Source organism: Homo sapiens, chromosome 15, assembly GCF_000001405.40.
Source record: "Homo sapiens chromosome 15, GRCh38.p14 Primary Assembly".
Classification (NCBI taxonomy): Eukaryota; Metazoa; Chordata; class Mammalia; order Primates; family Hominidae; genus Homo; species Homo sapiens.
The window spans coordinates 79,784,692-79,796,139 of NC_000015.10; positions in this window are offsets into that span (position 1 = coordinate 79,784,692).

Consider the following 11,448-nt stretch of genomic DNA (forward strand, 5'->3'; position numbering starts at 1 on the left):
CAAAAGCTGGAAGCATTCCCCTTGAAAACTGGCACAAAAGAAGAATGCCCTCTCTCACCACTCCTATTCAACATAGATTGCCCTGGCCACAACTTCCAATCAGGCAAGATAAAGACATAAAGGGCATTCAAATAGGAAGAGAGGAAGTCAAAACTATTTTTGTTTGCAGGCAACATGATCCTATATCTAGAAAATACCATTGTCTCAGTCCAAAAGTTTCTTAAGCTGATAAGCAACTTCAGCAAAATCTCAGGATACGAAATCCATGTGCAAAAATTGCTAGCATTCCTATACACCAACAACAGGCAAGCTGAGAGCCAAATCATGAATGAACTCCCATTCACAATTGCCACAAAAAGAATAAATACCTAGGAATACAGCTAACAAGGGAAGTGAAGGACCTCTACAAGGAGAGCCACAAACCACTGCTCGAAGAAATCAGAGATGACACAAACAAATGGAAAAACATTCCATGCTCATGGATAGAAAGAATCAATAGCATGAAAATGGCCATATTGCCCAAAGCAATTTATAGATTCAATGCTATTCCCATTAAACTACCATTGACATTCTTCACAGAACTAGAAAAAAAAAGATTTAAAAATTCATATGAAACCAAAAGAAAAGCCCAAATAGCCAAGACAATCCTAAGCAAAAAGAACAAAGCTGGAGGCAGCATGCTACCTGACTTCAAACTACACTACAGGGGTACAATAACCAAAACAGCATAGTAGAATAACAGATACATAGACCAATGGAACAGAACAGAGAACCCAGAAATAAGACTACACACCTACAACAATCTAATCTTTAACAAACCTGACAAAAACAAGCAATAGGGAAAAAATCCCTATTTAATAAATTGTGCTGGGAGAACTGGCTAGTCATATGCAGAAAATTGAAAATGGACCCCTTCCTTGCACCATATTCAAGAACAAACTCAAGATGGATTAAAAACTTAAATTTAAAACCGAAAACTATAAAAACCCTAGAAGAAAACCTAGGTAATACCATTAAGGACATAGGCATGAGCGAAGATTCCATGATGAAATCACCAAAAGCAATTGCAACAAAAGCAACATTTGACAAATGGGATCTAATTAAACTAAAGAGCTTCTTCACAGCAAAAGAAACTATCAACAGAGTAAACAGACAACCTATGGAATGGTAGAAAATTTATTCAAACTATGCATCTGGCAAAGGTGTAATATCCAGCATCTATAAGAAACAAACAAATTCATAAGAAAAAAAAACCCATAAAAAAGTGAGCAAAGGACATGAACTGACACTTCTCAAAAGAAGATATACATGTAGCCAACAATCATATGAAACAAAGGTCAACATCACTGATCATTAGACAAATGCAAATCAAAACCAAAATGAGACACCATCTCATACCAGTCAAAATGGCTATTATTAAAAAAGTCAAAAAACAATAGATGCTGGCAAGGTTGTGGAGAAAAAACGATATGCTTTTATACTGTTGGTGGGAGCATAAATTAGTTCAACCATTGTGGAAGACAGTGTGGTGCTTCCTCAAAGACCTACAGACAGAAATACCATTCAACCCAGCAATCCCATTGCTGGGTATATGCCCAAAGGAATATAAATTGTTCTGTTATAAAGACATATGCATGAATATGTTCATTGCAGCACTATTCACAATAGCAAAGACATGGAATTAACCCAAATGTCCATCAATGATAGACTGGATGAGGAAAATGTGGTACATATACACCATGGAATACTATGCAGCCATAAAAAGGAACAATATCACATCCTTTGCAGGGACATGGATGGAGCTGGAGGTCATTATCCTTAACAAACTAATGCAATAAGAGAAAACCAAATACCACATGTCCTCACTTATAAGTGGGAGCTAAATGATGAGAACACATGGACACATAGAGGGGAACACTTACACACTGGGGACTACTAGAGGGCAGAGGTTGGGAGAAGGGAGAAAATCAGGAAAAATCATTAATGGGTACTAGGCTTAATACCTGGTGATGAAATAATCTGTACAACAAATCCCCATGACACATGTTTATCTATGTAACAAACCTGCACATCCTGCACACGTACCCCTGATCTTAAAAGTTAAAAAAAAAAAAATAACAGCAAGGTAACATGTTCTCTTTTTCTTTGCTTTTGATGGGCAAGAGAAAGATGAACAAGGACAAACAAAAGAGTAACGGTACCACAGTGCAACTTAAGGCCTTCACCCAATGGAGAAAGAAGGGATAAAGGGCATTAACATTTATTTTGAGGCTGCTCCCTACTAAGAACTTCACCGGCATGTGTATCCTCATTGGATGGTTGTGAAGTAGGTTCACCATGCACTAGTTCCCAACTTGTCTGAGTCAGTGAGACAGAATACATTCATATACAAGTGACAAGAAGCAGGTTCATTACTTACAGATAGACAGCAAGGGATGACAGAAACCTAGCATTTACTGTGACCTGGTCCCCCCAAGCTTAGAAAAGCTGCCTGGGGTAGATGGAGTCTTATCTTCACATGGCACACTTGTACCACAGCTGAGGAACCCCAAATGGCAGCCTGTCCCGGATTATATACCTCTGGGTAACATGACATACTGGGCTAAGGTGTTGAAGAGCATTCCTGTTCTCCAGGGGGGACTTAATAGAGCCTGGGATGTTCCAGTCAATTCCCCCTTATCTCAGGATGTTGCATTGCCAGCACATTCTACAGTTATATTTGAGAACTACAAATGAGACAGGTGCAGGGGAGAAACTAAATCAGCTCAAGGCCACCCAGATAATCGTCCTGCAAGGGTCACCTCGTCCTTTGAATTCAGATAGAATTGACTCAAACTTCCTCTTTTGGGCTCTATGGGGAATCCAATCCCTCTCTAAGATTTCTGTGAATTCCTTCAGCCCTAGATTCTCGTAGGAACACCTTTACTCAAATGCCCTGTGTCTTCTGGGTTTCACTCACATCCCATTCCATTTGTTTCTCCCTCAAACATGCAGCACAATGTTTTTCTTTGACTTCTCCAAATTTTATTTATTTATTTATTTATTTATCATTCTTTCTTCTGCCTTCCTCTCTTTCTTTCTTCTCTTCCTTCTTTCCGTTTGTCTGTCTTTCAGTCTTCCAAACAAACATTTGTTGGGCATTTACCATGTACTCAGCAACTATGCTAGGTACTGAGGACAGACTGATGAGTGAACTCAGACATGCTGTCATGCAGCTTACAGTAGAAAAGATGGACAGGAGTCAAATAATGATACAACTTGACACAGAATCATAGAGTCATAAGAACAAAAGAGCTGTACATAAGGCTGGAGAGCACCTTACAGCCTGGCGGGTCAGAGAAGACTTTCCTGGGTCAATGACATATCCTTGAATTCTAAGGGATAGATAGGAATTGACTCAGCGAAGAGAAGGCAGAAAAGAATACCAGGCAGAGGGAATCGCATATCCTAAGTCCCCGTGGAAGAGGGAGCCGAGGAAGCCAAAGAGTGCCACATGAGCAGTATATGCAGAAAGAGGGCAAGTGCCATGAGAGACAGGGGAGGAGCTGTAGGTGGGCTGTGGCATGCAGGTCAAGGCAAACATGTGGTCTTTCACCTGAGAGCAAAGCAAAGACAGCAAGGAATTTCAGGTGTTGGTGGGAGGGAGAGTCTAGGGTGGGTTAAGGTGTGATGAAAGGCATGGCTATAATTTTCAAGAAAAAAAAAGGTGGCCGGGCGCGGTGGCTCACGCCTGTAATCCCAGCACTTTGGGAGGCCGAGGCGGGCGGATCACGAGGTCAGGAGATAGAGACCACGGTGAGACCCTGTCTCTATTAAAAATACAAAAAATTAGCTGGGTGTGGTGGTGGGCGCCTGTAGTCCCAGCTACTCAGGACGCTGAGGCAGGAGAATGGCGTGAACCCGGGAGGCGGAGCTTGCAGTGAGCCGAGATTGCGCCACTGCAGTCCAGCCTGGGCAACAGAGCCAGACTCCGTCTCAAAAAAAAAAAAAAAAAAAAGAAAAGAAAAGAAAAAAAAAAGGTACTTGTACAAATCAATGAGTATTTGAGTATTGCAAATGTAATTACCAGTATAACCAATACCCAAATAAGATACAGAATAGTTCATCTCCTCAGAAAGTTCTGTCAATCCTTTCCAATCAACCTCCAACACCCCCACCCACAATTACCACTGTTTTTATTTTTCTCACCATAAAATAATTTTGCCTGTTCTTAGACTACAGAGGAATCCTATGGCATACATTTTATACCATGGCTGCAGTGTGAACAGCAGATTGTAGAGAAACAATAGTGGATGTGAAGTGGCCCAGAGAGAGATAAAGACCATTCAGACAACCATAGTGATGGTGGAGATGGAAAGAAAGTGCATAGATTGAGGAGGGAGCTATTTCTTTTTTTTTTTTTTTTGAGATGGAGGTTCGCTCTTGTCACCTAGGCTGGAATGCAGTGGCACAATCTCAGCTCACTGCGACCTCCACCCTCCTGGGATCAAGCAATTCTCCTGCCTCAGCCTCCTGAGTAGCTGGGATTACAGGTACCCACCACCATGTCCAGCTAATTTCTTGTATTTTTTGGTAGAGATGGAGTTTCACCATGTTGGCCAGGCTGGTCTCGAACTCCTGACTTCGAGTGATCCACCCACCTCGGCCTCCCAAAGTGCTGAGATTACAGACGTGAGCCACTGCGCCTGGCCAGAGGGAGCTATTTCTCAGGTAACATCAACAATGAAGGACTGGATGTAGAGCTTGAGAGAGAGAGAGGTGTCATGGGTAACATAGGCATTAGTGTGTTTAGCAGACTTTGAAAGTTTGGAAACTTGGAAAGTCCAATAGACCCAACAACTTAAAATTGTGCATAAGAATGGGGGTTCCTTAAAATATTAAACATAGAGGCCGGGCGTGGTGGCTCACGCCTGTAATCCCAGCACTTTGGGAGGCCGAGGCGAGTGGATCATTTGAGGTCAGGAGTTCGTAACCAACCTGGCCAACATGGTGAAACCCCATCTCTACCAAAAATACAAAAATTAGCCAGGCATGGTGGCGGATACCTGTAATCTCAGCTACTCGGGAGGCTGAGGCAAGAAAATTGCTTGAACCCCGGAGGTGGAGGTTGCAGTGAGCTGAGATCGAGCCACTGCACTCCAGGCTGGGCAATAAGAGTGAGACTCCGTCTCAAAAAAAAAGAAAACATAGAATCACCATGTGATCCAGAAATTTCACTTCTGGGTATAGACCCCAAAGTACTGAAAGCAGGAATGTGAACAGATTTTGTACACCCATGTTCGTAGTAGCATTATTGACAATAGCCAAAAGGAGAAGGCAACCCAAATGTCCATCGACAGTTGAATGGAAGAATGGATAAACAAAATGTTGTATATACATACAATGGAATATTATTCAGCTTTAAAAAGGAATGAAATTCTGGCATATGCTACAACATGAGGGAACCTTGAGGACATTATGCTAAGGGAAATAAGCCAGTCACAAAAGGACAAATATTGTAGGATTCCACTTATATCTTGGCACCTAGAACAGTGAAATTCATAGAGACAGAACGTCAAATAGTGATTACAAGGGGCTAGAGGGAGGCCAGGAATAGGGAGTTAGTGTTTAGTGTTCAGGTTTGGGTTGATAGAGTTCTAGAGCTATATGGTGGTGATGGTCACACAATAGTGTGAATGTACTAAAAGTCTATACATTTAAAAATGGTTCAGATGACGCCAGGTGTGGCGTCTCATGACTGTAATCCCAGCAATTTGGGAGGCTGAGGAGGGAGGATTGCTTGAGTTCAGGAGTTCAAGACCAGCCTGGGCAACAGAGCAAGACCCCCCATCTCCACAAAAATTAAAAATAAATTAGTCAGGCAGGTGGCACGTGCCTATAGTCCCTGCTACTTGGCTAGGTAGGAGAATCACTTGAGCCCAGGAAGTCAAGGCTGCAGTGAATCATCATTGTGTCACTGCACTCAGACTGGGCGACACAGAGTGAGACCCTGTCTCAAAAAAAAAAAAAAGTTATGATAAATTTTATGTAATGTATATTTTGCCACAATAAAAAAATCTATTCAAAAAAGTGTGATAACATCATTGAATATTCATTTTCTGTGTCAAATTTTTAAATATTTCTTTTAAATCACACATAAGACAATCTTCTTAAAACGCACTGGGCATTTCTTCAATAGTCTGAAAGCTCCCCTGGTGGTTTTCCACAGGTGCCCACCCATCCACAGTCTCAGTCCCAACCACTGTCTCTGCATCCTCCCCCCACCATCTCTTCTCTGCTTCACCCCAAGTTTCTGTCAATCCAGCTATTAATGTTTCTTCCATCTGCTGCCCTGGTTTCTAGTTCCACCTTATCTTCCATGAGCCATCCTAATGAGCTTCCAAAAAGTCCTACATTTTTGTTTAAGCTGGTTTATGTTAGGTTTTCACACCAGGAAGCCAAAGAGTAAAGGACTTCATGTGTTTATAGTAAGTGCAACGGAAAACATATGACTATTGACATAAAACCTACCACTAATATCAATAAATGTATATAGGCTAAATGCACCCACTCAAAAAAACTGTTAACAAAATAAATACAACCCTATGTTTTTTCAAGAAACACATACAAAACTAAGTAATCAGAAAGATCAAATTAAAAAGTAAAAAAAAATTAATTTTAAATGGCAAAGATAAAATGAAAACAGGTGTCATGGTCAAATATGCTATCATTTAGAACTAAAAGCACTAGACAAGATAAAGAAGGATACTTTATGATGCTAAAAGCTATCATGTATAATGACGTTATTGTTGTTAATCTGTATGCACAAAATAATACAGCAACAACTTGCACAAAGCAGAAATTATAGAAGACAAAAGGAAAAATAGACAAACTCACACTAATAATAAGAGAATTTAAAATACCTCCCTCAGACTTAGACAAATTAAGGGAGAAATACTTAGCAAGGATATAGAAAATCTAAATCAATCAAAAAATATATCTAACAACTATATATTCAAGCCTATATCCTGATAATCTCCTTCTCAGGTACATATAGATCAGTTATGACAAGAGACTATATTTTAAGCTACAAAGAAAATCTAAATTAATTGCAAAAATAGAAATGTCAAAAGCTTATAACCACAATACAATGAAACTATAAATTACTGACAAACTGTTTGAAATAATGCCTTTTACCTGGAAATGTTTTAAAACTCTTTATTAAACAACTCGGGTCGAGGGAAATGCAAACTGAAATTGCAAAATTTCTAGAAAACCCCAATAATGACAGTACTAGATACTAGTCACTAGTATCTAGAAATACAACTAAAGTAGTGCTTTTAGAGAAAAAAAAATCTATATATCCTTAAATAACTATATCAATAAGGATAAAAATGAAAATAAGTTATTTAATACCCAACTCAACTAATTAGAGAAAGGAAAATGAAATAAATCAGAAAAAAAATAAGGAAAACATTCAAAAGAATAAAAGCAGAAATTAATTATTAAATAAAAATTAATATATTTTGAATGTATCAATTAAAAAGAAGTAGGGGAAAATGTAAGTATACAAAATAAGAAATTTCAAAGAAGAAATATTCGTGACAGGAAATTTTTAAATCATGAGAGATTAGTATGTACAAACCTATATAAATAATTTTTCAAAGATAAAGTGAATAACTTCCTCGGAAAATATAATTTACCAAAACCGATCACAATAGAGATATAAAGTCCAAATAGGACACTGTCACTGAGGAAATAAAGTCATCAGAGTGAGTCTCCAATGACCCCTAAAACAATCACCAGGTGCAAATGGTTTCACAGGAAAGTTCTAACTAAAGTTCTAAAGATCAGATTATTTGCAATGGTAGTATTCTAGGGAGTAAAGGATACACACGTAAAAATATTTTAATACCAAAACCTACAAATATTTCACAGAAAAAGTCTAATCTCACTTAACAATAAGATGTAAAAATGAATCAGTTTAGAGCTCTGGGTACATGATGACTATAGACAATAGCATTGGTGTAAATCTAGGTTCATGCTAAATGCATATATTTTAGCTGCTTTTGCCTCAGGAAAGTGGGTAGCAATTTGAGATAACAGGTATGTTAATTTGCTTTCCCATAGAAACCTTTTTACTATCTGAATGTATCCTATAACATCATGTTGTATACCCTAAACATATACAATAAAAATTTGTTTTTGCTTTCATTTTTTGTTTTGTTTTGTTTTGAGACAGGGTCTCACTCTGTCACCCAAGCTGGAGTGCAGTGGTGCAATCATGGCTCACTGCAGCCTCGACCTCCCAGGCTCAAGCAATCCTCCAACCTCCGCCTCCTGTAGCTGGGACTATAGGCACAAGCCACCATGCCCAGCTAATTTTTGTATACTTTATAGAGATGCGGTTTTGTCATGTTGCCCAGGCTGGTCTCACACTCCTGAGCTCAAGCCAACCTCCCGCCTCAGCCTTCCAAAGTGCTGGGACTACAGGCATGAGTCACTGTGCCTGGCCTAAAATTTATTTTTTTTTTTAATTATTAGAGTTTAATGCCAACAACAAAAATACATCATGACTAAGTGTGATTCATTCCAGGAATGCAAGGAAGGTTCATATTAAGCAGTCTATTGGCCAGGCATGGTGGCTCATGCCTATAATCCCAGCACTTTGGGAGGCCGAGGCAGGTGGATCACTCGAGGTCAGGAGTTCAAGACCAGCCTGGCCAATATGGTGAAATCCTGTCTCTACTAAAAATACAAAAATTAGCCATGCGTGGTGACAGGTGCCTCTAATCCGAGCTACTCGGGAGGCTGAGGCAAAAGTTTTGGCTTGAACCCCAGAGGCAGAGGTTGCAGTGAGCCAAGATCATGCCACTGCACTCCAGCCTGGGCGATAGATAAAGACTCCATCTCAAAAAAAAAAAAAAAGAAGTCTGTTAATATAAGTCCCCATAATAACATAGTTGAAGAGAAAAACCACAGAATCATCTTCACAAGTAATAGATAACTGTATTGATGGGAACTTTTGGAATTTCTCTTATAGTTGCTTCTAGTTTCCCAGTGAAATAGGAAACAAGGTCATCAGCTGAGAGTGAGAAATCAGGAACGGGGAAAAACATGAAACATGAAATCGTTGTCTAAGAAACTGTTTATCTTAACTAAATTAAATGAAACTGTTTCAACTATAGAAGATTATTTCTACAATGCTCCTCTGAAGAAAGATGTTTTTCTAACTCCATGTTAGCCAAATCCATCCCTTTTCTCCAATTCAAATACATTATTTCTGTTCTGTCACTAACAGGACTTGAGGCCTTAAGTCACAAAAAATGATTCCTATAGAGTTGGAACTCTATAGGAATGTCCTATCAGTACCTTCCTCCTGGGCAGTCCCTAACCTCCCTCTCTGCTCCCAGTCTCACCTTCTTCCAGTTCATATTTCATATTCAGGCATTCAGTGTAAATTCACTAGTAATTAGCAAAACAAACTCATCTTTCAGGATGATATAGATGCCATCTCAATTCCACATCCAAGAATTTACCCTACAAATATATTGGCCTATATATTTAATGGTGTATGTACATGTATGCTCACTGCAGAATTATTTGCCTAGAAAACAACTAAAATGACCATCAACAAAGGACTGGATAGAAAATATTGTTACCAGCATACAATGGAAAACTATGCAGACTTAAAAAGAAAGTTAGGTAGATCTAGGTATGCTGATTTGGAAAGCTGCCCAGGCTATATTATGAAGCACAGGGGAAATGTTATTTTAGAACCATATTAATAATACAATTCCATCTTTTTAAAGCTATATATTACAAATAGGAATTCATCATTATCCAAGAAGTTGCACATCAGTTGCAAGGTTATGAAGAAGTTAAAAAAAAAAAACAATTTGTTCTGAGATGAGATCTCGCTATGTTGCCCAGGCTGGTCTTGAACTCCTGGGCTCAAAGAATTCTCCTGCTTCAGCCTCCTGAGTAGCTGGAACTAAAGGTATGGGCCATGATGTCCGGCTCCAAAAACCTTTATAATAAGAAAATATTATTATTAGCTCAGGTGCACTGACTCACACCTAGTTATCCTAGTGCTTTGAGAAGCTGAGGTGGGAGGATCGCTTGAGCCCAGGAGTTCAAGGTTACTGTGAGCTGTGATCATGTCATTGCACTCCAGTGTGGAGACGCAGTGAGACCCTGTCTAAAAAAAAGAAAAAGAAAAGAGGAAAAAGAAGAGAGAAAATGCTATGAACATTTTCTGTTTCTAAAATTAAAATTAGTGCCCAAACACATCCCATGCCAATCGCAGCTCAACACTTTAACCAATTTCTATCAACCCAATTAGCATCTTCCTCATGTGGCCACTGGTCCACAGGAAACATTAAGGGATGTACTCACCATCTCTGCATCATTTTCAGAAGCACTAGGTTTTTCTGATGCTCCTGTGCCACTATTTATAGGAGCAATCACTAGAGCACCTTATAAATCAGGAAATTAGATCTCTTATTTGCCAACTGACTTGTTTAAGGTCATATATCTAGTTAATGGCAAAGTTAAATCTTGATCATGCTTATTCCCAAGGTTGTGCTGCTATTTATATCATTCAGCTGCCTCATCCTAGCCATCCTTCAGGGCTGCCAATCAGATGTCACTTACTCCATGAAGCTTTCCAGGATGCCCTTAGCAGGAAATGACATCTCCTTTCTCTGAACCACAACAGGACCCGAATCCCTCTTGTGGACTTTGTTCCTGCCTGCTTTGCTGGAACTGCTGATATAAGGACATATCCTCCAAGTTCTCTTTGAGGAAAGTGCGCTCATTAACTATGTTTGTATAATAGCCAGGGTCACGATTGGGGTGAGGCAAGTGGGGGGCCTGGAGTGCAAAATTTAATGAGGAATTCACTCTCAGAGTCACACATGTACAGGGTTATTTGTCTCATCTTAGTTCCAACCCTGATAACATTTGATAGAAATACAAGTCTACCATATTCTGTAATATAGTGTCCGGTACTGTAATAATCAGAACAGCTTTAGATTGGTGGGTGAACCACCCAAGGTCAGCCAGCTAGCCATTGATGACACAGGGATCCCTATGCTTGTAGATTTCCAACTTATAACATGGCATAGAGCATTGCACTGGGTTCCTGGGGAAGACTAGAAGGGGAGGGAGACTAGAAAGATGGTGAGACGGCTGGGCGCAGTGGCTTATGCTTGTAATCCCAGCATTCTTGGAGGCCGAGGCAGGTGGATCACCTGAGGTCGAGATCGAGACCATCCTGGCCAACATGGTGAAACCCTGTCTCTATTAAAAATACAAAAATTAGCCGGGCATGGTGGCGTGTGCCTGTAATCCCAGCTATTCAGGAGGCTGAGGCAGGAGAGTCGCTTGAACCCAGGAGGTGGAGGTTACAGTGAGCTGAGATCACGCCACTCCACTCCAGCCTGGCAACAGAGCAAGACTCTGCCT